This window comes from Homo sapiens, chromosome 1 (genome assembly GCF_000001405.40).
Source record: "Homo sapiens chromosome 1, GRCh38.p14 Primary Assembly".
In the NCBI taxonomy this organism is placed as follows: domain Eukaryota; kingdom Metazoa; phylum Chordata; class Mammalia; order Primates; family Hominidae; genus Homo; species Homo sapiens.
In genome coordinates this window covers 205,544,854-205,570,724 of record NC_000001.11, presented here as the reverse complement: position 1 = coordinate 205,570,724, position 25,871 = coordinate 205,544,854, and the positions used below count along the sequence as shown (strand labels likewise).

Sequence of the window (25,871 nt, the reverse complement as noted above, 5' to 3'; positions counted from 1 at the left end):
TCCTTAAGATTTTCTGAATCTTCTGTATATTCCAATCCTGTACCACACCCACAAAACACTGGTGTACACAAGGAGACTTGCTTTTTAAGAAGAGAATAATTTGGTTTACAAGAAGATTTGGGGAAAATGGGGATAATCGCTTCCAAAATTGGTCATGTTTTTAAGGCTTAAAGTGGGGTCCATCTGTACTGACACCTGTGCTCCTTCCACCAGCTCTGGAAGCAAGGTGGATGGAAACACCTGCCCTCACGAACACCTGTAGGCGTTAAGCCAAAGGGCATGACCACAGCCCAGAACGGCCCCTCCAGAGGTTTCTCTGGGATAGCCCAACTGCGGTTTTTTCTCCAGGCCGGCTGCTTGCTCGACTGAGTCCATGGGATCTAGGAAACCACTCAGCCAGGAGCTGGGACTGGGGAAATCAAGCAGCAGCCTCTGGCTTGCAAGTCATCTATTCCCTATTCTATTATGGGTCTCTGTTTTCCATGCTGCACTGGGAGAGTGAATCTGGCTGTCTTTCCACAAGGGAGCCCGGAGGTGGCCCTGTCCAATTTAAGCCGAGAGAATAAGGCTCTGCAATAGTGTCAAAGGGGGATTTCTGGGGGTGGTGCCAGGGAGAGTCCAGAGCCCTGTCGTGGGGCAGAGGCCCAGCAGGAGTAGGATGAGGTGGGTGGGGAGTGGAGGGGAACCTTGGCACCAGGGCTGGAGAGTCACCTTACCAAGCTATGGGTAAAGTGCCCTGCCCCTCCCAACCTGGCCTTAACGGTGAGGTCCTGTGTGTCTCGGGGGCCCATGCAGGAACCATGTTCTGGCTGCCTCAGGAGGAGGGCTACACAGAACCCACTAAACCCCGTGGCTACCCGGGGGAAGGGACAGCCTGTGTTAGCTGATGTGGAGCTGCCTACAGTGGAGCCTGGCCCTGGGAATCAGTCAAGCCGCAGGCCACCTCCAGCACCCTGCACCGCCACAGAGCTGGCCCTCCCACGGTCCTTCCACCTCACTGCCAATCCCGCCCCCGGCAGCCGGGGCTACTGACAAACCCCAGAGGAGCTGTGTAAGAGGGGCACCCTCCCCACCTCTGCAAACTCTATCACTCCTCTCCCCACGGGGCGGTGGGTGGGGGAAGCAGGTGGGAACTGGTTTTATCCTCTCACAGGGATGAGTGATGACAAATAAATAAGCCAGAAGTCACCTTCAGTCTCTGGAGAGAGTTTTCCAGGGAGAGCTGCGGGGGAGGGAGGGAGGGAGGGAGGCAGCTCTTCGGCCAAGATGGAGCTGGGAGGGGTGGTCGCGGCCGGGAGGCGGGGGCGACGGGCAGCCCCACGGGGCCGGGGGAGAGGCCGGGTCGCGGGGCGGGAGGGAAGGGTCGGCCCGGCGAGGGTGGGTGCCGGGGGCCGCGGGGCGGGGGCGCACGGGCGCGGCACTCACGTCCTTTTGAAGACGCCCCCGAGGGCGCTGCCCAGCAGGAGGCAGAGCTGCTGCGAGAAGAAGACCCAGGAGATCTGGGGCAGCGAGCTGTGCGTCTGACAGCGCAGGTCCAGCAGCGTGGGCCCCAGGAAGGCGATGCACAGGCCGAAGCTGAAGAAGACGCTCCAGTAGGTGAGCGTGGGCTGCAGGTTGCGGCGGAGCAGCCCCGACACGCGGCCGTCGCAGCCCATGGCGCAGGCTGACGGGCTCGCGGATCTGGTCCCGGCGAGCCCGGTGCCCGAGTGCCGCCCGCGGGAGGGCCGGCCGGGCTGGGGAGGCCCGCGGCGGGGAGGGAGGGGCGGGGAGGGGCCGCCCCAGCGAGGGGCCCCGCCCTTGGGCCCGGGCGGCGGCGGGGGCGCCTCTGCGGCGGGTGGGCAGTGCGTCCGCTCCCGCGCCTTCCCCGTGCGGTGCCAGGCGCCGGCCTCCCCCTCCTACCCGAGCGCACATGCTCGCCCTCCCCCGGCTGCGGAGACCAACCGGGAGCCGCGCTGCCCCCCGCCCGCTCTCCCTCGACCAGTCCCCCCAGCCTCCGGATGCAGCCCCCAGGGACCGAGCGCCCATTTTAGAGCCCGGCAGATGGAGAGCCCGAGACATCCTGTATCTCCGGATAAGGCTAGGGGCCCTCTCCCCGCACCCGGGCTGTGGCAGTGGAGGAAACCCGGACCCCTTTAAACCTAGGCGCTTCACAGATGGACTTCGAGGGTCTAACGGCACCCCCCTTTCCCCCAGAACAGAAGGCAAAATCTTGTTGTACATATGTTTCTCCTTGGGAGAGTATTCGTGCATGGCTTTCATTAGAACCCCAAGAGGTTAATCACATTGCCCTTTAGAAGGAGAACCCTAGAAACTCAACATCTTCCTCACACTAAGCTCCCTGGAAGGGCCTGAGATGAGGCCCTCCTCCCCACCTGGCCAGGTGCGGGAAGGAGGAGGATGACGCTGGTCTATGCTGACTCTCTCTCTCTCCTTCTAACTAGTTGGAGGAGGGCAGAGAGGGAAGGGCCGCGTCCTGGAGGAACCCCGGGAGGAATTCTGAAATAATCTCCTAGAAAAAAAAATTTAAAAAGAGTTCTGGGGAAAATTCTTTCTTCCATGGATAAATCCCTGGCAGTGAGTAGGGGTTGATTATTCTCTAGACTGGGTGTCCTTCGAGGAGCCTGCAGCTGACCTAGGCTGTCCCTTCATTAGGTGGCCTCGGGCTGGCTGGTGGGTTCTGTGTGTTCCCGCTCCTAAGGGAGCCAGGATCTGGCCCCTGGAGGCAGAACAGTAAGGCCCTGCGGTGTCCCCTCTGCCCAGGTCTTCTGGTAATGACAGGAGCCATGACATCATTTCCACTGGCCCACCAGGGGGACCAGGGCTGAAAAGACTGAGGAGGTATGTGGGCGGGTGTCCCCAAGACAACTTGGCATGAGGTGGGGCAACCAATTTCTCTTGCAGGTACTGGTCCCATCTCATAGCCGCACCCCTGCATCTGCCCTATCCCTTCTTGGACAGTGAGCCCCAGAGAAGGGGGAGCCCCAGGGTCCCTCTGGCTCATCACTCTGTGGGTAATGACAAGTACTTATTCGATAGTGATGATGGGGGGCCTGCACAGTAATTGTAATAAACTGAAAAGCTACCCTCTGGGGGAAAAAAAAAGAAAAAACACCAAACAAATCATAACCACAAGTTTTTGACTGAGTCTTCTCTGCCACTATCACAGAACTCCAGGAACCATAGAAGCTCAGAATTGGAAGGAATAGCCTCCAATTGAGTCCCCTATCCCCTCCCCATAACTGCCTTTGAATGCTTGCCAGTCCTGTTCTTGACTGACACCTCTAGTGCTGGGGACCTTGCATATTCCTAGGGGCTCTGCTTGCAGTGTGGATGAGCTCTGGTTGTAGAAATGGTCTTAGGCAAAATTGAAATGCTTCGCCCTGTAACTGCTCCCCACGGCCCCACACAGAACAAATCTAATTGCTCTGTCATGTAAGTCCTTCACACCCAAAATGACCTTGCCCTAATGATTTTGCTTCTCTAGCCCAAACACCTGAAATCCTTCCATAATTTCCCTAAATGGCGTTCCCCAACTACAGCACCTTGCTGGCTCAGCTCCTCTAGCCACAGTAACAAATGACCCTGCCACAATGAGGTAGCCCCCAGTGCCTGGGATGCTGGAAGCATTCTGAAGCTTGATCTAGGTGGTAGTTACACAGGTGTAAATATATGTAAAAACTTATTGGTCTGTAGATTTAAGATTTGTGCATTTTTGTGTGTAAGTTATACTTGATTAAAATGGTAAAAAGTAAAAATAAAAAGTAAGTAAAAATAAAGGGAGGCATTCCACCGTGAATACAGTACTCAGCCTCTTCATAGTCAAAGACCTATTGGGTTCTGGTACTGTACAAGGTCCTCTGGTTGAGATAAGCAGATATGGAAACAAGTTACAGTTGTCTCTCCATATCCCATATCCCGTGGGGGGATTGGTTCCAGGAGTGCCTGCAGATACCAATATCTGATAAGAACAGATACTACACTTGGTCTTGCCAAAAGGCTGAGAAACGATAGATACCAATATCTGAAGGTGCTCAAGTCCCTGATATAAAATGGCATAGTATTTGCATATAACCTACATCCATAGGCCTGTATACTTTAAATCATCTCTGGATTACTTATAATACCTAATACACTGTAAATGCTATGTAAATAGTTGTTATACTGTATTGTTTAGGGAATAACGACAAGAAAAAAGTCTGTACATGTTCAGTACAGATGAATTTTTTTCCCAAATATTTTCGATTTGCAGTTGGTTGAATTTACAAATGCAGAACCCACAGAGACAGGGGGCCAACTGTGCAGCAGTGAGGTACCTTCTGTAATGGGGTGGTTTGAGGGCCTGGAGAGCTAAGTGTCTAATTCTGCCTGGGAAGGCTTCATGGAAGAGGTGACTTTTGAGTGGGGTCTGAAAGCCAAGTCTATATGTGAAAACGTTTTGCTTATTTTTGCTTTCTTCATCCCTTTCTCTGTCCCTTCTGTTTTCCAGCATCACACACTGTCCACCTCCTCTAGGCATCTTTCCCAGATGAATTAATTCTATTAAATTCTTATTTCCAGCAAGACTCTCATCCACTCCTGTACTGCTACCCTATCTTCACAAGGCCAGGTATTACATTCCACGGACTGTTCCTCCAGCCCCTTACGGGAGCCAGTTAAATCATGAGTTCCTAAGGGCTGGGAGTATATTTACCTGTGTTCTAACTCCACCCCTTCTCATGTGCCTCACATAAAAGAATGCCTTGCAGATAGCAAGTCCTGGACAAATAGCTGGTGAGGTGAATTGTTTGCACAAAAATTATACAATTACTTTTGGCTTTACATTTACATGTCTTATCTCCCACTTACAAGTTCCCCAAGGGCAGACGCTATCCAGTCTTTCCTTTGTGCTGTGTATTCACATGTCTGTTCTTAGTTGGGCACCTTGTGGTTATTCTTAAATTTGAAGGGCAAAACCTTGGATCCTTCTTTAACTACTCTCTGATTTCCCCCCTTATAAATTAGAAGGGAATTATCCCCCACCGTCACAAGCCAAGGAAAGTGATCTGAGACTCCCAAATATGGAAAGGTTACATTAATTGGAATAAAGGATCTGTGGGAGTAAAGGGTTCTCAAGCTCTTGGAGCCTGAAATCTATTAATTGCCTCAAGGGTTGGCTCTCCAGAAGCCTTTTTCTGACCTTCCTAGGCTCCCTCCTTGGGGCTCCCAAACTATCCTAGTGCTGATTCTGTTTAGTGCCGCCCTTCCAAGGCAAGGACCACAGGATTGGTTCATCACTGGGTGCCTGGATTTCTGACTCCTTGGTGAGAGGTGTTTATACTACACTGAACTCTTGTGTTTTTTTTTTTTTTTTGAGACGGAGTCTTGCTCTCTTGCCCAGGCTGGAGTGCAGTGGCATCATCTTGGCTCACTGCAAGCTCCGCCTCCCGGGTTCACGTCATTCTCTTGCCTCAGCCTGCCGAGTAGCTGGGACTACAGGCACCCACCACCACGCTCGGCTAATTTTTTTTGTAGTTTTAGTAGAGACGGGGTTTCACTATGTTAGCCAGGATGGTCTCGATCTCCTGACCTCATGATCTGCCCACCTCGACCTCCCAAAGTGCTGGGATTACAGGCGTGAGCCACCACACCCGGCCTTTTATTTATTCATTTATTATTATTATTATTATTATTATTATTATTATTATTATTATTTGAGATGGAATGTAGCTCTGTCACCCAGGCTGGAGTGCAATGGCGCAATCTCAGCTCACTGCAACCTCTGCCTCCCAGTTTAAAGTGATTCTCTTGCCTCAGCCTTCCAAGTAGCTGGGATTACAGGTGCACGCCACCACACCTGGCTAATTTTTGTATTTTTAGTACAGACAGGGTTTCACCATGTTGGCCCATGGTGATCTGCCCATCTCAGCCTCCTACAGTGCTGGGATTACAGGCGTGAGCCACTGCACTCAGCTGAACTCCTATGCTTTATACCTGGAAGTTGAGAAGCAATAAATCACCTGCAGATCTTGGACCATCTGTAGGTAATCTATGTCATGGAAACACACAGAAGAAAGTAAACGAACAATGAAATAAGAGTTAGATACCCTTACCACTATCCTTTTACATGCATTACAGCTGCAGAAATTCCTTAGTGTATAAACCCATGTTGTGTATTTTGTTTTTGTTACTGTTTCTGTTAGAACTGAAAACCTTAAATATTTAAATGAGATATAAAGAGAAGAGGCCTGATTCTCACCAGCCTAGTGGGGAGTCACTGGGACTTGGGCTTGATTTCATGCTTAGCAGGATCCTCTTAGTGACCTGGGGCTGCCCTCTGTCCCCAGGGCCTTCTGGTCTCTGCTTCCAGATTCTGCAGAGGCCAGGCAGGAGCAGTAGAGTGAAGTCTCCAGCTCAAGGTCATTAAGCACATCCTGCAGTTAGTCTGGCCATTCTGGGTCATGAAGCCACCCCTCCCCTATCTCCAGATTTTGTCTTGTCACTCCCTGTGTGGTTGTTTTGCTGGCCAGAGTGTGGCGGTGGATTGGAAGGCTCTGTCTGAGGTTGGCATGGGGCGGATGGCAGATAGTTTGGTGCCAAGGACTATACCTGGATGGCCCAGCCATCCTAAGGCACATGAATGCAAATACAGCAGAGGCGGGTGTGTGTACAAAGAGCCTCCTTTACCAAATATCCGGTTGAGCTACTTAGTGCTAGCCTGCCTGGAGGGTAAGGGGAGTGGTCACACAAGTGCCAAGAAAGGGAGGGACAGGAGGAGGTGAGATGACCCGGAAACATCTTAGAGTTAGACCAGTTGCCATAAACACCCTGGAGAGGTGTTGCCTAGCATCTGGCATTTAGTTGGTGCTTATTAGGTGCTAGTGCTTAAAAGTGCTAGTTGAAACTAGTTTAACGGACAGTTGGAAGGACTCTCTGAAATTAGTGCAACCAGCCAGGCATGGTGGCTCACGCCCGTAATCCCAGCACTTTGGGAGGCTGAGGAGGGCAGATCACCTGAGGTCAGGAGTTCGAGACCAGCCTGACCAACATGGAGAAACCCCGTCTCTACTGAAAATACAAAATTAGCTAGGCGTGGTGGCGTGCGCCTGTAATCCCAGCTACTCGGGAGTCTGAGGCAGGAGAATCACTTGAACCCAGGAGGCAGAGGTTGCAGGGAGCCGAGATTGTGCCATTGCAATCCAGCCTGGGCAACAAGAGTAAAACTCCGTCTCAAAAAAAAAAAAAAAAAAAGAAAGAAAGAAAGAAGAAAGGAAGGAAGGAAGGAAGGAAAGAAAGGAAAGAAAGAAAGAAAGAAAGAAAGAAAGAAAGAAAGAAAGAAAGAAAGAAAGAAAAGAAAGACAGAAAGAAAGAAATTAGTGCAACCTCCCACTCAGAAATGGGATTCCACTTACAGCATCCAGCATCCCTGCAGGTAGCCACCTGGCCTCAGCTTGAGCACGCCTAGGCTCAGGAATCAGTGGATCTAGCCCAGGCTGTGAAATCAGTGAGAAACTGACCCTCGGTTTCCTCGTTTTTTAAATGGGGTGAATAAGAACTCCCTTACTGTGAGAAAATGTAGACAGTATGTAACAGGAGCTGGTACACCAGGTTCCCAATAAATTCTCATGGTTATTATTATTAACAACAACACAAACTGCCATCCTCATTTTGTGCACTAGAACAGTGGCTGGCAAAGCGTGTCCCTGGACCACCAGCAGCAGCATGTCTGAGGAACTTGTTAGAAATTCAGACTCTTGGTCTTACCCAAGACTAGCTGAATTAGAAACTCTAGGGGTGAGGCTCAGTAACCTGTTTTGTTTTTGTTTTTGTTTGAGACAGAGTCTAGCTCTATTGCCTAGGCTGGAGTGCAGTGGTGTGATCTTGGCTCACTGCAGCCTCCGCCTCCCGGGTTCAAGCGATTCTCCTTCCTCAGCCTCCTGCATAGCTGGCATTACAGGTGCACGCCACCACGCCTGGCTAACTTTTCTGTTTTTAGTAGAGATGGGTTTTCGCCATGTTGGCCAGGCTGGTCTCGAACTCCTGACTTCAAGTGATCCACCCGCCTTGGCCTCCCAAAGTGCTGGGATTACAGGCGTGAGCCACCGTGCGCAGCAATAATCTGTGTTTTAACAAGCCCTCCAGGGGATTGAGATGCAGCTACAGTTTGAGAATCACTACTTTAGAGCCACAAAGCAAAAGTCTAATTCCCATTCTACAGAGAGCCATTCACTATTGGAATACACTCTATGTTCTTTCGAAGTCTTATTCCTGACATCATTGTCTCTGCTTCCTTCAGCCATCTCTCATTTACCAAGTACTCCCTTGCTATTCTTATCACACCGTCATGCCATGCTGTCATGGTCAGCGACCCTCTCAAAAAGGGTGGCTCCCAGCACTGCACCGAGGGCTCCTGGTGGTCTGAGCAGTGCGCAGTGCAATGGGCTTGCTGCCTCCTCTTCTCTAGAAATTCTGACAACTATTTATTCAGTGCCCACTCCATGCCAAGCACATAACATATAGTATTTTTTAGTTTACTGTTTTGATTGAGGTTAAACTTACATATATTAAAGTGCACAAGTCTTAAATAGCTTGATGATTTTTATACGTGTACACATCTATGTGACCACCATCCACATCAAGATATAGAACATTTCCAGCACCCATGCCAGAAACAGTAGTGTACTTGCTCCACATTATGTATGTGAGAGCAGCAGTTCATTATTTTCATTGCTATGTAGTATTCCATTACATGGATATACCACAATATATTTTTCTCATCTACTATTGATGGACATTCAGATTGTTTTCAGTTTGCAGCTACAATAAAGCTACTCTAAACATTTGTATGCTTATTTTTTGGTGGACAGAAGCTCCCATTCTATTCAGTTTATGTCCAGAAGTGAAATTGCTATGTCACAGATAGGTTTGGTTTTAGCAGATGCTGCAAGACAGTTTTTCAAAGTTGTTGGTCCAGTGTACACTCCTACTAGAGTTTTAGTTCCTCATCCTTGTCAACACTTGGCATTGTCAGTCCTCCCCTCCCCTCCCCTCCCCTGTAGGGGTACTAGTATCTCAAAGGTTTTCATTTGCATTTCCCTCATGACAAATAAGGTTCAGTATCTCATCATATGCTTATTGGCAATTTGCACATCCTCTTTTTTGAAATACCCCTTTGAGTCTTCAGCTTACTTTTAAAATTGGGTTGTCTATCTCTGAAATTTATTTAGGAGTTCTTGATATATGCTGGATATGAGTTCTTTGTCAGTTACATGTATTGTAAATACCTTTTTCTTGTCTGCACATACATTATTTTTTCCTTTTATCTTTGGTTGACACAGAATAATTGTACATACTTATGGGCACAGAGTTTTTTTTTTATCTGCACAGTCTGAGGACAGGGAGTGATGTTGTGATACAGGTATAATGTATGTAATGTATGTAATGATCAAATCAGGGCAATTAGCATATCTATCACCTCAAATATTTATCATTTTTTTTGTGTTGTGAACATTCAAAATCCTCTCTTCTAACTATTCAAAGATATACACTAAGTTATTGTAAGCCATGTTCACCCTGCAGTGCTATAGAACACTAGAACCTATTCCTCCCATCGAGCTGTAACTTTGTATCTATTAAGCATCCTCACCCTATCCTCCTCGTCCCCCCACCCTTATAAATCTCTAATAACCACAATCCTATCTCTACTTCTATGAGCTCAGTTTTTTCAAGCTTCCACATATGAATGTAATCATGCTACATTAATATTTGTGTGCCTGAACTTATTTCACTTAACAGAATGCCTTCCAGGTTCATCATGTTTCTGTGAACGGCAGAATTTCATTATTTTTCATGTCTGAATAGTATTCCATTGTGTATATAAACCACATTTTCTTTATCCATTCATCTGTTGATGTCTATTTAGGTTGAATCCATATTTTGGCTATTGTGAATAGAGCGTCAATAAACATGAGGATTCAGATAGCTCTTTGATGTACTGATTTTCTTTTCTTTGTATAAATACTCAGTAGTGAGACTGCTGGATTGTATGGTAGCTAGATCTATTTTTAGTTTTTTAAGGAACCTTCATACTGTTTTCTATAATAGTTTTACTAATTTGCATTCTCACCCATAGTGTATAAGAGTTCCCTTTTTTCTGCATCCTTACCAGCATTTTTTTTATCATTTTAATGACAGCCATTCTAGTTGGGGTGAGATTATATCTTATTGCAGTTTTGATTTACATTTCCTTGATGATTAGTGATGCTGAGCATTTTTCTCTATGTTTGTTTGGCCATTTGTATGTATCCTTCTGAGAAATGTCTATTTTTTTTTATCCTTTGCCCACTTTTTAATTTTTTTTTTTTTTTTTTTTTTGCTGTCCAGTTGTTTGAGTTTCTTATGTATTCTGGATATTAGTCCCTTGTTGGTGAATACTTTGCAAATGTTTCCCCCCTTTTTACAGGTTGTCTCTTCACTCTATTGATTGTTTCTTTCACTGTGCAGAAGCTTTTTCATTTTATATAGTCCAATTTGTCTATTTTTGTCTTTGTTCCCTGTGCTTTTGAAATATTATGGATAAAATCATTGCCTGGACCAATGTCCTGAAGCATTTCCCCTATGTTTCCTTCTAGTAGTTTTGGGTCTTATGTTTGAGTCTGTAATCCATTGAGTTGACTTTTACACATGGTGCAAGATGAGGGTCTAATTTCATTATTCTGCATATGAATATCTAATTTTCCCAGCACCATTTATTTAAGAGACTATCCTTTCCCAGGGTATGTTTTTGGCAACTTTGTTGAAAATCAGTTGGCTGAAAATACATGAATTTATTTCTGGGTTTTCTATTCTGTTCCATTGGTCTATGTGTCTATTTTTATACCAATACCATGCTGTTTTGGTTACTATAGCTCTGTAGCATATTTTGAAGACAGCGTGATGCCTCCAGCTTTCTTTTTTTTTTTTTTTTTTTTTGCTCAGGATTGCTTTGGCTATTCAGGGTCTTTTGTGGTTCCACATGAATTTTAGGATTGTTTTTCTATTTCAGTTAAGAATGTCATTGGTATTTTGAAACAGATTGTATTGGGTTTGTAGATTGCTTTGGGTAGTATGTTCATTTTACAATATTAATTCTTCTAATCCATGAGCATAAGATGTCTTCATTTTTTTGTCTCTCTAATTTCTTCCAGTAGTGTTTTATAGTTTTCATTGTAGAGATCTTTCACCTCCTTGGTTAAATTTATTTCTAGGTATTTTATTTTATTGTAGCTACTATAAGTGAGATTGCTTTCTTGATTTCTTTTTCAGCTAGTTCATTATTGGCATATAGAAATGCTACTCATTTTCTCATTTTTGTATGTCGATTTTGTATCTGCAACTTTACTCAATTTGTCTATCAGTTCCAAGAGGTTTGTGTGTGTGTGTGTGTGTGTGTGTGTGTGTGTGTGATCTTTTAGATTTTTCTATATGTAAAATCCTGTTGTCTGCAAAGGGACAATTTGACTCCTGTTTTTCAATTTGGATACCCTTTGTTCCTTTCTCTTGCCTAAATGCTCTGGCTAGGACTTCCAGTACTAGTTGAATAAGAGTGATGAGGGTAGGCATCTTTATTTTGTTCTAGTTCTTAGAGGAAATGGTGTCAGCTTTTCTTCATTGAGTATGATGTGAGCTGTGGGTTTGTCATATATGGCCTTTATTGTATTGAGGTATGTTTCTTCTAAACCTAATTTGTTGAGAGTTTTTATCATGAAAATATGTAGTTTTATTAAATCCTGTTTCTGCACCTATTGAGATGATCATACGGTTTTTGTCCTTTATTCTGTTGAAGTGACGTATCATGTTTATTGAATTGCAAATGTTGAACCATTCTTGCATTCCTGGAATAAATCTCACATGAACATGGTGTATTATTACCTTTATGATGTGTTGTTGGATTCTGTTTGCTAATATTTTGTTGAGGATTTTTACATCTATGTTCATCAGAAATATTGGCCTGTAGTTGTCTTTTTCTGTTTTGTCCTTGTCTGGTTTTTGATATCAGGTATCAAATGCTGTCCTCATAGAATGAGTTTGGAAGAATTTCTTCCTCTTTAATTATTTTGGAATAATTTGAGAAGAATTGGTGTTAGACTCCCCTCCCCTCCTCTCCCCTCCCCTCTTCCCCTCTCTCATCTCCTCTCCTCTCCTCTCCTCTTTTGACAGGGTCTGGCTCTGTAACCCAGGCTTGAATGCAGTGGCATGATGGGTGCAATCTTGTTACCTGTTACTGGTCTCTTCAGGTTTTCTTTTTGGCTCAATCTTGGTAAGTTATATATATTCAGGAACTTATCTATTTCCTCTAGGTTTTCCAATTTGTTGGCATATAGATGTTCATAATAGTTTCTAATGATTCTTTATATTTCTGTGGTGTCAATTATGTCTCCCTTTTCATTTCTGATTTTTTTTTTTAAGAGATGGAGGCTCGTTTTGTTGCCCAGGCTGGAGTGCAGTGGCTATTCACAGGCACAATCATCATACACTGTAGCCTAGAACTCCTGGCCTCAAGCGATTTTCCTGTCTCAGCCTACAAAGTTGCTGGAACTCTAGGTATGTGCCACCGTGCCTAGCTTCTGATTTTATTTATTTGGGTGTTCTCTTTTTCTTAGTCTAGCTGATGATTTGTCAATTTTGTTTATCTTTAGAAAAAACAAGTTTTCATTTTTTTCATCTTTTGGTACTATTTTTAGTCTCTATTTTGTTTAGTTCTGCCCTGATCTTTATTCTTTCTTTGCTTCTACTAATTTTGGGTTCAATTTGTTTTTGCTTTTCTGGTTCCATGAGGAGCATCATGGAGTTGTTTATTTGAAATCTTTCTACTTTTTAGATATAAGTATTTATCGCTATAAACATCTCTCCTAGTATTGCTTTTACTGTATCCTGTGGGTATTGGTATGTTGTGTTTCCATTTTCATGTTTCAAGACATTTTTTTATTTCCTTTTTAATTTCTTCATTGACCCAGTGGTTGTTCAGGTATGTATTATTTAATTTCCATGTATTTGTATAGTTTCCAGGGGTCCTTTTGTTATTAATTTCTAGTTTTACTCCATTGTAGTTTGAGAAAATACTAGGTAAGGTTTCTATTTTTTTTTTTTTTTTTTTTTCCATAGAGATGGGGTCTCACTCTGTGTTGCCCAGGCTGGTCTCGAGCTCCTGGGCTTAGGCAATCCTCCTGCCCCCCGAAGTGTTGAGATTACAGACATGAGCCACCATAGCCGACCTAATTTTTTTTTTTTTTTTTTTAGATGGAGTCTCTCTCTGTTGCCCAGGCTAGAGTGCAGTGGAACGATCTTGGCTCACTGCAACCTCTGCCTCCCGGGTTCAAGCAATTCTCCTGCCTCAGCCTCCTGAATAGCTGGGATTACATACGTGCACCATCACGTCCAGCTAATTTTTGTATTTTTAGTACAGATGGGGTTTCACCATGTTGGCCAGGCTGGTCTGAACTCCAGACCTCAAGTGATCCACATGCCTTGGCCTCCCAAAGTGCTGGAATTACAGGTGTGAACCACCATGCCCAACCTAGCCAGCCTGATTTTTTAATATTTGTTGGGATTTATTTTGTGGCCTAACATATGCTCTATCTTGGAAAATGTTCCATGCATATACATTAACTTTAATCTTCACAATGGTCCTGTGAGGTAGATATTATTATCCCTATTTTATGGATAAGAAAACTGAGGCTCAGGAAGGCAGAGTAACTTGCCTAAAGTCACACAGCATAAGTAGCAAAGCTGAGTTTTGAGCCTGCGTTGCCTGACTCCAAAGTCTGGATCCTTCCCATGAGAATGTCTGCCTCTCACATTCAACTCCAATACACACATCTAAGACTAGTGCATAAGCTGATAGCTGTTAACATTTTCCCCCACAGAAAATGCAGCTGAACCAAGCCTGCCTATCTTGTCTATGAGCAGCTGATTCTTTGAATCTAAAGAATTGATACAGGACTTGATACATGTGGAATAACAGAAAGAACCTGGACCGTGGAGTGAGACAGGCTTAGACTTGAGTTCTGGCTACACACTTGGCTGTGCCAACTCAAGGCGGCTACCTTGACATTATAAGGCTGATTTTCTTCAACTGTAAAATGTCGATGTAGGATTACATGATAACACATGCAAAGCCTCTGGTAGAACACTCAGGGCAGCACTGCTCATGCTTCTTAGTTGCCTTCCCCTGATCTGGAGTGTCAATTAATCTTGGTTTGAGTTCCTCTTGCCCACCAGTGCACTTTGGTCCCCCATTCAGTCATGTAGCAAGGGGCTATTCCTCCAGCTGTTCTTGAGTAAGCATGGCACCTCACATTCATATAGAATGGTTACTAATAGTCATCCAAGTTATTGAGAAAAATATTGACCACAATGTACCACTCTCCCACTCCACTTTTTCCTAATTAATCTTTCCTTTGGGACTCAGCTAAGTTGTTCATTCTGCTGGGAGTGCTCCACCCACCCAGAGCTGCCCCGAGTGCCTGCCTTGTGTTCTCTGCATCCCCTCACCACCTTCCTTTGTGACAAGCAGCTGAGGTGTCTGTAACCCGAATCAATACTGGATCAGCTCCTTGAAGATAGAGATTGGGTCACACAATTATCCTTATATCTTAGAGCACAGCACCTGCCTGGTACATAGCTGGCATTCAGAAAATATTAGCTACGCAAAAATGTGTTTAAGTATTATAACCTTGAGTTGATGAAACTCTGAGGCAAGAAATAGTATTTATAGAGGATTTCATGAAAAATGTACAATTTATCGATCTCATCAGTTCTCAGATTTGGCTATATATTAAAATCCCCTGGAAACATAGAAAAAATCAGAATCTCTGGTTGGTGGAGTCCTGTGTTGGTATTTTGCAAAAGTTCCCAGGACTTCCTAATGTGCAGCTAGGGTTGGAAACCACTGCTCCAGAAAATCCACATTTTACCACTGAAGAACTGCCTGCATATCCTGTACCATTTAGGCCCTGCACTAAAGTGCCTTTATTGAATTATACTTGGGCTTTGTGTCCAATTTGACTGAACCTGGGATATAACTGTGCGACTCTTGTCACCGGAGATATGGGGAGATGTTGTTGTCAATGGATCCTCTTTATGAAGACACACCAGAGAGATGCCTATTGGGCATCAGCACCAAAAAAAGGCCATGATCCTCCTGAGCAACCAGTTCATGTTTGTCTTACGGATTCCAGGAATCATTTAATTAACACTATTTTCCAGGTTTGTAGTAGCTGCTGCAAAGCTCAAGATCAAAGCCATGGTGCATCTTTATCACCTACAAAGAATTTTGTGGTGTGTGTGTTACATATTGACTTGGTTCTGCATTATTTTTTGTCTTTTTCTCTTCACCCTCTGATATGGTTTAGGTCTGTGTCCCTACCCAAATCTCATGTCAAATTATAATTCTCAATGTTGGAGGAGGGGCCTGGTGGGAGGTGATTGGATCATGGGGGCAGACATCCCCCTTGCTGTTCTCTCAATAATGAGTTTTTATGAGATCTGGTCGTTTGAAAGTGTGTAGCACCTCCTCCTTTGCTCTCTTTTTCCTGCTGGCCATGTGAAGATGTGCCTGCTTCCCCTTCGCCTTCCGCCATGATTGTAAGTTTTCTGAGGCCTCTCCAGAAGCAGAAGCCTGTATAGCCCACAGAACTATGAGTCAATTAAACCTCTTTTCTTTATAAATTACCCAGTCTCAAGTATGTCTTTATATCAGTGTGAGAATGTATGAATACACCCTCCTTTCCTTAACTTTTTCTATAATAAAGCTTTTTAATTGAGATAATTCACATATCATAATATTCGCCCTTTTAAAGTGTACAATCCAGTGGTTTTTAGTGTATTTACAAGATTGTGTGACCATCACTACTAATTCCAGACCATTTCCATCACCCCAAAAATAAACTCCACACCCATTAGCAGTCACTTCTCACTCTCTCTTCCCCTCGACTTACTTTCTGTCTTTATGGATTTGCCTGTTCTAGATATTTCATATCTAGATATTTCATATAAATGGAATCATACAATATGTGGCTTTCTGTGTCTGGTTTCCTGTACTTAGCATAATGTTTTCAAGGTTCATCCATGGTATCAGTAGTTTATTCCTTTTTTATGGCTGAATAGTATTCTATTGTATGGACATACCACATTTTGTTTATACATTCATCAGCTGTTGGACATTTGGGTTTCTACTTTTTGGCTATTATGAATTATGCTGCTGAGAATATTCATGCACAAGTTTTTATGTGAATATGTTTTAGTTCTCTTGGGTACATATTAGAAGGGTGGTTTGCTGTGTCAGATAGTAACTCTGTGTTTAACTTTTTGAGACCCTTTCCTCATTTAAAGAAATGTTTTTGTCTTATAGTATAGTATGTATCTCTGTAAGCCACTACAGATTCCTCTTTTTGGAATGAGGTGGCATATAAATAAATAAATAAAAAGTCACAAAGCACTCCCAAGCCATCTGTTTAATAATCTGTGCCAGAATGTTGCCAGGATTCTATATTGAGCCGTTTGGTCTATAATTTCCAGAAATACCTTCTGTCTCCTTGTAAAAATCGGAACATTTTCCCATCTCCACTGTCCTCAAGTATCTAGGTTGTTTTTCAGTCCTACCTGCAAGGGATTTCATGACTCTGGTGTCCTACCTGAATCAGGCCCCCAGAACTCATCTATGGCCACAAAAGGTCTGCCCTCCACCTTCTCATCTGTCTTGTGACACACTTAAAATGTTTTGTATCAAAGTAATTCATGCACATGGTTAAAAATAAACTAGAACAGAAGAGCTTACAGTCCCCTACCTCATCCCTCCCACCCCTAGTCTTGCTCCCCAGAGGCAACTGCTTCTAACTCTTTTAGCTCTTTATTCTGGGAGTAACTTCCATATCTCTAAATAATATGCTAATGCCACTGTTCCTTGGCTTTTCAAGTTTAAACATCCTCTATTAATTTATAACTATCAAAAATGAGGTGGGGCACGGTGGCTCACGCCTGTAATCCTAGCACTTTGGGAGGGTGAGACAGGCGGATTGCTTGAGCTCAGGAGTTCAAGACCAGCCAGAGGAACATGGTGAAACCCTATCTGTACTAAAATACAAAAAATTAGCTGGGTGTGATGGCACATGCCTGTAATCCCAGCTACTTGGGAGGCTGAGACAGGAGAATTGCTTGGACCTGGGAGGCGGAGGTTGCAGCCTGGGTGACAAAGCCAGACCCTATCTCACACACACAAAACAATGATAATAATAATAATTTATCAAAAATGAGGATTTAGTTTACATATCTAATCCAAACAACCGTCCCCCCACCCTACTGTCAGTACAGTTATATAACTGTTCTTATTTAATTCCTCTAAATAAAATAAAAATAAATCTGTCAATTACCTCTGTTGCTTTAAGTGACTACATCTTTATTTTTCATCCCACTAGCTGTTGATAGTAGTTTTGACTCACTGTTTATAGGATAAAGATATCATCACTCCTACCTTTCCCTTTAGGCTGCCCTTCCCAACTTCTGTCTTCTGAACATTTACTTTTTTTTTTTTTTTTGAGACAGAGTCTTGCTCTGTCACCCAGGCTGGAGTGCACCCAGGCTGGAGTGCTATGGCATGGTCTTGGCTCACGACAAACCTCCGCCTCTTAGGTTCAAGTGATCCTTCTGCCTTAGTCTCCCAACTAGCTGGGATTACAAGAATGCACGATCACACCCAGGTAATTTTTGTATTTTTAGTAGAGATAGGGTTTGGCCATGTTGGCCAAGCTGGTCTCGAACTCCTAACCTCAAGCGATCCACCCACCTAGGCCTCCCAAAGTGCTGGGATTACAGGAATGAGCCACCACGCCTGGCACATTTACTTTAAATGTTCAATGTTGACAACATTTATGTTCCAATTTTCTCATTAGATTATGTTCTAATCTTCTGTGCTTTGCTTATAGGTTTCTAAATGTTTAAATCCAATAAATAGTGTTTACATTTTGTGACAATGTAAATATTGTTTATTACAGAGCCACACAATGTCCTATGATGAATTTTCTTCTTTTATTTCTTCTAGTTTTTCATAAGAGTTTCTAATTGCCTTTCTTCTTCTCGTTTCCCTTCTCTTTTTTCTCTCTCTCTGTCTCTCTCTTTCTTAGACAGGGTCTCACCGTGTCACCCAGGCTGGACTCAAGCCATCTTTCTAAGTAGCTGGGATTACAGACATGTGCCACCATGCCAGGCTTATTCTTTAATAATACCCTTGTCATTTCCTCAAGTCTGCTCTCACCTTTCCAGCAAATGAGTAGAGGTGCCTTATTTCTCAGGACCTGTTACACAGAGCCCTCTGCCCTTCCGCCACATAGGTGTTGGCCTGGGGCTTCTTCCTTTCACTGATGCCCTGGGCCTGGCAGCCCTCTCTCCCTCCCTCCTTCTCTTCCTTTCTTCTGCTTGTTTCTTCTTTGTTTATGCTCTCATTTTGCTGTACCACATCTTTAATTTCTCAAGGAGTGTGTGGTATGTAGGTTTTCTGAGTCCCTCATGTCTGAAAGTATCATTGCTCCACCCTCACACTTGAATGGCAATTTGGACAGATATAGAATTCTTGATTGAAAATTGCTTTGGTCATTGAATATTGAAGGCATAGTTCTAGCCTTTGCTGGTGAGAACTTTGAGACCAGTCTGATGCATATATATATGTGTATGTATATATATATATGGAAATATATATATATACAAATATATATGCAAATATATATATGCAAATATATATACACATATATATGCAAATATATATACACACATATATATGCAAATATATATACACATATATATGCAAATATATACATATATATGCAAATATATATGCATATATATACAAATATATATGCAAATATATACACATATAACTATATATACATATACATATAAATATATATATATATATTTTTTTTTTGAGATGGAGTTTTGCTCTTGTTGCCCAGGCTGGAGTGCAATGGTGAGATCTCAATTCACCGCAATGTCTGCCTCCCAGGTTCAAGTGATTCTCCTGCCTCAGCCTCCTGAGTAGCTGGGACTACAGGCATGTGCCACCATGCACGGCTAATTTTGTATTTTTAGTAGAGACGGGGTTTCTCCATGTTGGTCAGGCTGGTCTCAAACTCCTGACCTCAGGTGATACACCCGCCTTGGCCTCCCAAAGTGCTGGGATTAAAGGCGTGAGCCGCCACACCCAGTGTCTGATGCCTATATTTTTAGAGGTACTCTTTCTTTTTTCTTTCTTTTGTTACCTCTAAGGAAATTTTTAGGTAACCTTTCTTTTTTTCTTTTTTTACCTCTAAGGAAATTTTTAGGATCTAGATATACTATCATTTAGATATAAAACTAATTCTCTTACCTTCCAACACCTTCTAATGACTTTTTTATTTCTGTGATCCTATCTTTAATTTCCAGTAGTTCACACTTATTCTCTGATTACTCCTTTTCATAGCATCCTGTCCTTGTTTAGGGATGTAACACCTCTCCAATCTATCTGACAAATGCCTGAAATATTTAAAATGTTCTTTTGTCTTCTGTTTCCTAAATTACTTCTCTTTCTTATGGAGCTCTGCCCTGACCACCACCACCATTTATCCTTGTCTCTTTTTCATGCTAAGGTCATTTTTCAAATATCTGACGATCTTTGTCTTATCATATTTAAGAGTGAGCCATCCTGGTCAGCTGGCAGATTTCATTTCTCTTTTCTTTCTTTCTTTCTCTTTCTTTCTTTCTTTCTTTCTCCTTCCTTCCTTCCTTCCTTCCTTCCTTCCTTCCTTCCTTCCTTCTTTTTTTTGGACAGTCTCATGCTGGAATGCAGTGGTGCGATCTTGGCTCATTGCAACCTCTGCCTCCTGGGTTCAAGCAATTCTCTTGCCTCAGCCTCTCAAGTAGCTGGGATTACAGGCGTGCACCACCACACCTGGCTAATTTTTTGTATTTTTTTTGTAGAGATGGTGTTTCGCCATGTTGGCCAGGCTGGTCTCGAACCGCTGACCTCAAGTGATCTACCTGCCTTGGCCTCCCAAAGTGCTGGGATTGCAGGCATGAGCCACTGTGCCCGGCTCATGAATGGAAATTTTCAATTCCCTCTTAATGTGTGTGTTTTATCTTTTTCAGAATGGTCATTCTCCTAACATAGGAGAATGAAACAAATTGAGAGCTTCATCATCATAATTAATATCTCTCCCTCTGTGAAACAGAGGCTCCTGAAATCTGAGAGGCTCCTTCCTTCTCTGTTGGGCTCTTTTTTTTTTTTTTTTTTGAGATAGTGTTTTGCTGTGTTGCCTGGGCTGGGGTGCAGTGGCGTGACCACTGCTTACTACACCCTCGACCTCCCTGGCTCAGGTGATCCTCCAGCCTCAGTCTCCTGTGTGGCTGGAACCACAGGCACCGCACCACCACACCTGGCTAAATTTTGTATTTTTTATAGAGACGGAGTGTCGCCTTTTTTGCCCAGGCTGGTCTTGAACTCCTGGGCCCAAGCGATCCTCCTGCCTTAGCCACCCAAAGTGCTGGGATTACAGGTGTGAGCCACCACGCCCAGCTTGTTGGGCTGCTTTTGTTTCTGACTTCAGATGCAGCTTCCCACTCGTCCCTGTCAGAGACCTTTGCTTCCTCACCTCCAAATGCCAATCATGTCTGTGTCCTGTCAGTTCTAAGTCTGGCATGTTCCTTGAATTCAGGGCTCCAGCTTCTTCTACTGCCTTAGTCCAGTGGTTCTGGCCCGTAGTTCAGTTCCAGGCGGTTTCTCCTGTACGATTGTAGCAGCCTCCTAGCTGGTCCCTGCCAACCCTCCCCTAATCCAGCCTTACCAGCTCTAAATTCAGACTTTATTATGTCCCTCATTTACAGCAAAAGAAGGACATTTTAAAGCAATTAACATCACTTCTATGGAGAGCTATTTGGTGATATCCACCAAAATGATAACTGCACCTGCCCTTTGACCTGCAATTTCACTTCCAGGAAGTTATCCTGCATACAGAGTTGTACATGTAAAACATGACGTATGTACCAAGTTATTTATTGCAGCACTGTTTATAAATAAAGCAAAAGATTATAGAGAGGGAATGGTGGCGTGATCACAGCTCACTGCAGCTTCTACCTCCCTGGGCTCAGGTGATCCTCCCACCTCAGCCTCCCAAGTAGCTGGGACCGCAGGCATGTGCCATTATGCCCAGCTAATTGTTGTATATTTTGTAGAAATTAGGTTTTGCCATGTTGCCCAGGCTGGTCTCGAACTCCTGAGCTCAAGTGATCCACCTGCCTTGGCCTCCCAAAGTGCTAGGATTACAGGCTTGAGCCACCATGCTGGCCCCTATGTTTATTTTATCTTATGTAAAAATGCAGATTCACTGAGCTAGATGAATGCATAGGTGACTAGTCCTCTGCCCACCTCTCACATGTGAAGGGCTGATCAAAGACTCAAAAGAATGCAACCATTTGCCTCTTATCTACCCATGCCTTTTAAAAATTTCTTCCTTTCACCAATATCCACCCTTTCTTCTTTAAATATTGAAGCCCTCAAAATCATCCTTGGAGACAGGCACAGACCTGTCTTCTGGATGTGCATCCTTAACCTTGGAAAAATAAACCTCTAAATTAATTGACACCTGCCTCACAAAATTCTTGGTTTACAAAAGCATTAAAATATTAACTAGCAGTGGTTGTTTATAGGTAGTTGGCATATGAGTGATTTTAATCTTTATCCTATTTCTGTTTCTCCCTCAATTTTTTTTATGATAAGCATATCAATTCTAATAATCAGCCAAAAAAATAATGGATGCTGCCCTCCCCCACATGGTGCACAGGACCAAGCTCAGTGTCTTCAATGCATTTCCATCCTCCTCCCCTATCATTTCCCAACCTCCCCCAGCACAGCAGGATCGGTGGTTTCTGAACATGGCCCCTTGGTTGTTCTCCCCTGTCCTGCAGAAATGCGACCCAGCTTCCACTGTGCAGCTTGTGTGTCACCCCCTTCCAGATAGAATCAGCGGCTCTTCCTTTGTGCCTATGTAGCCAACTGTTTCCCACTGGCCTGGATTCCTGGTGGGTGTGGACCTTGTCTTCTTGTCCCTTTGCCACCTAGGATGGCCCCCGCCTTGACTCAGGGGGCGTGCCGAGTGCTGGCAAATGCAGCTGAATGACCACAAGCCCTTGTTGGCTTCCTCCACCTTCTGTGAGATGGCTGGGTTACGAGAGTCCGAGTTGGCCACAGTCCTCTCTTCATGGTGGTGTCTCCTTTCTGGGCATCACTCTTTCCGGGGTGTTCTGCCAGACATGCTGCAGTGCTTGTTCCCCACTGGGGGGGGGGCCCTCGACTTAGCAGCATCCTTCAGACAGAGCTGCATCTTCCAAACCAAGGATGGTTACCGACCAACCCCCAGAGGTCTAGCTGGAGGAACAGGGGCTCTCGGGACGGCTGGTTGGCCTCAGGAGAGGGGCAAGAGGAGGGCTTTTTCTCACATCCCGTCAGGAATCTTGGAGAAAATGGGGCTGGGAGCCCAAGTAACACATTTGTCCTGACACTTCCACTCCCTCCTAGGAACCTTCCAAGTCTTCTTGCCTGCATCTGTCCAAAAGAAAATTGGGCAGGAGGGGAGGAGACAGGAGCAGGGGAGTGACTGAAGCAGGGCCCAACCCCAATCTATCTCCTTTCCTCTCAGAGGATTTGAGATGGTTCCTTGCCTTTTAGCAGATTCATGGAGAAGAGCATAGCTGGCAGAGAATCCCATTCCTTCCCAGTTTCTCAGCGTGCAAAGATCCCTTAATTCACAGACTGCCTGCACCCATCTCTTACCCAAGCCCTGCCCCCCAGTCCACATGGAAGTTGAACCTAAAGGAAATGTTTTTTGTTTGTTTGTTTGTTTTTTGAGACAGAGTCTTGCTCTGTCGCCAGGCTGCAGTGCAGTGGCGCCATCTCGGCTCACTGCAACTTCTGACTCCCTGGTTCAAGGGATTCTCCTGCCGCAGCCTCCCGAATAGTTGGGATTACAGGCACGCGCCACCACGCACAGCTAATTTTTGTATTTTTAGTAGAGACGGGGTTTCACCACATTGGCCAGGATGGTCTTGAACTTCTGATCTCAGGTGATCTGCCCACCTTGGCCTCCCAAAGTGCTGGGATTACAGGCGTGAGCCACTGTACCTGGCTGGTCTCTTTTTTTTTTTTTTTTTTGAGATGGAGTCTTGCTGTGTCACCCAGGCTAAAGTGCAGTGGCACGATCTTGGCTCACTACAACCTCCACCTCCTGGGTTCAAGCGATTCTCATGCCTCAGCCTCCTGAGTATCTGGGATTACAGATGTGCACCACCACGCTCGGCTAATTTTTGTACTTTTAGTAGAGACGGGGTTTCACCATGTTGGCCAGGCTGGCCTTGAACTGACCCTCAAGTGATCCACCTGTCTTGGCCTCCCAAAGTGCTGGGATTATAGGCGTGAGCCACCATGCCTCACTGAACCTAAAGGAAATGGAAGAGAAGAGCAGGCCGTGTGCAGTGGCTCACACCTGTAATCCCAGCACTGTGGGAGGCCGAGGCAGGAGGATTCCTTGAGCCCAGGAGTTAGAGAGTAGCCCGAGCAACATATCGAGATCCCGTCTCTACAAGTAATAAAGTAATTAGCCAGGCATGCTGGGGCACACCTGTAGTTGTAACTACTCAGGAGGCTGGGGTGGGAGGATGGCTTGAGCCCGGGATGTCAAGGTTGCAGTGAGCCAGGATTGCGCTACTGCACTCCAGCCTGGGCAACAGAGTGAGGCTCTGCCTCAAAAAAAAAAAAAAAAGAGAGAAGAGCAGGTGTCAAATTCCTTTTATGTCCATCTATGCTTTCTCTTAAGCAGCCTTGGTTTAAGAGATACTAATAGAGATACTTCCTAATCTGGCTGTCGTTGCTTTCATCCTTATCCTTATACCCTAGCAGATTTACCAAGAGGATAAATCCCAGCTGGAAGTCTTGGACATCTGGCTCCATTTTCAGCATTATCTCCAGATTAGGGCAGCCAGGGAGAAACTTGGATGTGGAGGGCACACAGCCCTGCACAGACACAGACAACTATGAAGTCAACTATTAAAAGACTCCCCATGCATAAAATCCTTCCATTAATAGTCAATAATGGCTAATATTGTGTGACATATTTTGAGGACTTTTCCCCTGTGTCAGGGAAGTGGGTATGTTTTTTATATCTCCATATTACACATAAGAAAACTGAGGCACAGAGAGGTGAAGTAAGTGGCCCAAGGTCGCTCAGCTAGCAAGTACACTAGCCAGGATTTGAGCCCTCTGGCTCTAGAGCCTATGCCCTTAACCACGAGGCTATCCTGCTAGGGTTACACTTTCCTTTTCAGGGTCTTGTGAGGCACAGCTTGACCCCTGACCCTCTTTGGGTACCCTGGGCCACCCCATGGGTCCAGAGTCTGATTTTGAACTCTAACCAGCCACCCCACCCCAGCCCTTGGCTCCCCAGCAGAGTGAAGTGGGTCTGCTCCAGCTTGAGGCTACTAGGAGCCCATTGATGGCATTGCCTAGAGCCACATCATGCAGAATGAGCTCCTGGCAGCACAAGCCCGCGCTGTTCATTCGGAGCTGCGGCATGCTCACTAGGTCCTCATGGTGATGCTGGGAGGTGGACTAGAGTATCCCATTTGGCATGTGAGGAATTGAGCTCCGTGAGATTAAGTCACTGGTCCAGAATCACAGAGTAGCCAAGCCAGGATTCAAACCCAGACCTCCACGTGCCATGTGCAGCTCTCCTTTCACAAATCCACAGCTGCACTCCAGGGATTCCCGGCTGACAAATGTAGTTTGGGTGTCTTACTGTGGTCTTTAACCCGCAGGACCCAAAGCTACAGCGTTTCCAGTTTCTTTCCTTCCCAGACTCTCAGGAAACCACTTCTCAAACGTCTACTTGCTACAGAATTGCTTGAGGAGAGTATTTAAAATGCAGATTCCCAGAGTTCATCCTCCAGGGATTCTGACTTTGGAGGTCTGGGGTAGGGCCCAGGACTCTGCATTCTTAGCAGACCCTCAGATAATTCTGAAGCAGGAGGGTCCTGATGCACCCATCTCTGAGAAACCTGCTTTACACCCATCTGAGTGGTATCTGTCCCAACCCCTACTCATGGCAAGGGGCCCATAAACCTCTGAGGGATGACTAAATGTTCCGGTGTGGTTCAGGTTTCTCTCTGGGGGTTGAAAATGTTATAAAGTGCAATGGGAGATTTTCTAGGCAGAAGATGGGTCCTTTGCCTTCTGAGAGATGGGGCTACTTCTCTTGGGTTTCACTCTATAGGTGAAGGCGGAGTGAGGGGAGAGGGCCGCCCCTTGAGGGCTCAGCAGGGCCCTAGCCTGCGCCTGTTTTCAGACCAGGTTGCTGCTCTTTTGGCTGACGTCATAAAACAGAGCCCTGGGTGGGCGTGGTGGCTCACGCCTGTAATCTTAGCACTTTGGAAGCTGAGGCAGCGGGATCACCTGAGGTCAGGAGTTCAAGACCAGCCTGCTCAACATGGTGAAACCCCATCCCTACTAAAAATACAAAAATTAGCCACGTGTCAAGTGAGGAGCACCTCTCTCTGGCCGCCGCCCTGTCTGGGAAGTGAGGAGTGCCTCTTTCTGGCCGCCACCCTGTCTGGGAAGTGAGGAGCACCTCTGCCCGGCCGCCGCCCACCATCTGGGATGTGAGGAGTGCCTCTGCCTGGCCGCTGTGCAACCCTCCAAGTGTGAAGTGACAGCCTTGTGGGTGATACTTCTGCCCTCCCCAAGTTTGCATTTTTGACATTGAAGTTTACTTTTTAATTAAAAGTTTTAAATTGGAGAATAAAAAAAAATTAGCCAGGCGTGGTAGCACACGTCTGTAATCCCA

At 45.0% G+C, this 25,871-nt stretch overlaps 1 protein-coding gene, 1 long non-coding RNA gene and 1 pseudogene across 3 annotated transcripts in view, besides 2 other annotated features; 1 reads left to right on the top strand and 2 right to left on the bottom strand.

Annotated features, from left to right (window-relative positions):
- Positions 1-1,711, bottom strand: part of SLC60A1 (solute carrier family 60 member 1) — a 33,905-nt gene extending 32,194 nt beyond the window's left edge. The window contains exon 1 of the mRNA NM_181644.5: positions 1,426-1,711. Coding sequence (NP_857595.3) covers positions 1,426-1,655 — 230 coding nt within the window. The 5' untranslated portion in view covers positions 1,656-1,711. The remainder of the gene's footprint in view (positions 1-1,425) is intronic.
- Positions 332-880: an enhancer, noted in NCBI's record as "H3K4me1 hESC enhancer chr1:205538973-205539521 (GRCh37/hg19 assembly coordinates)". NCBI's record gives its function as "activates a minimal SCP1, AML or CMV promoter by ChIP-STARR-seq in naive H9 embryonic stem cells {active_cell/tissue: H9 hESC(naive)}" and the evidence as "EXISTENCE:reporter gene assay evidence [ECO:0000049][PMID:30033119]".
- Positions 881-1,430: an enhancer, noted in NCBI's record as "H3K4me1 hESC enhancer chr1:205538423-205538972 (GRCh37/hg19 assembly coordinates)". NCBI's record gives its function as "activates a minimal SCP1, AML or CMV promoter by ChIP-STARR-seq in naive H9 embryonic stem cells {active_cell/tissue: H9 hESC(naive)}" and the evidence as "EXISTENCE:reporter gene assay evidence [ECO:0000049][PMID:30033119]".
- On the top strand, positions 1,420-16,453 carry SLC60A1-AS1 (SLC60A1 antisense RNA 1). 2 transcript variants are annotated; one of them, NR_027086.2, is made up of 4 exons: positions 1,420-1,596; positions 12,175-12,274; positions 12,424-12,558; positions 13,881-16,453. It is a non-coding gene; the product is annotated as an SLC60A1 antisense RNA 1 (long non-coding RNA). The 2 variants fall into 2 exon arrangements; NR_152721.1 differs by having other exon boundaries at positions 13,255-16,453.
- RNU2-19P (RNA, U2 small nuclear 19, pseudogene) lies at positions 3,926-4,009 on the bottom strand (annotated as a pseudogene).
- Positions 16,454-25,871: the final 9,418 nt, after the last annotated feature.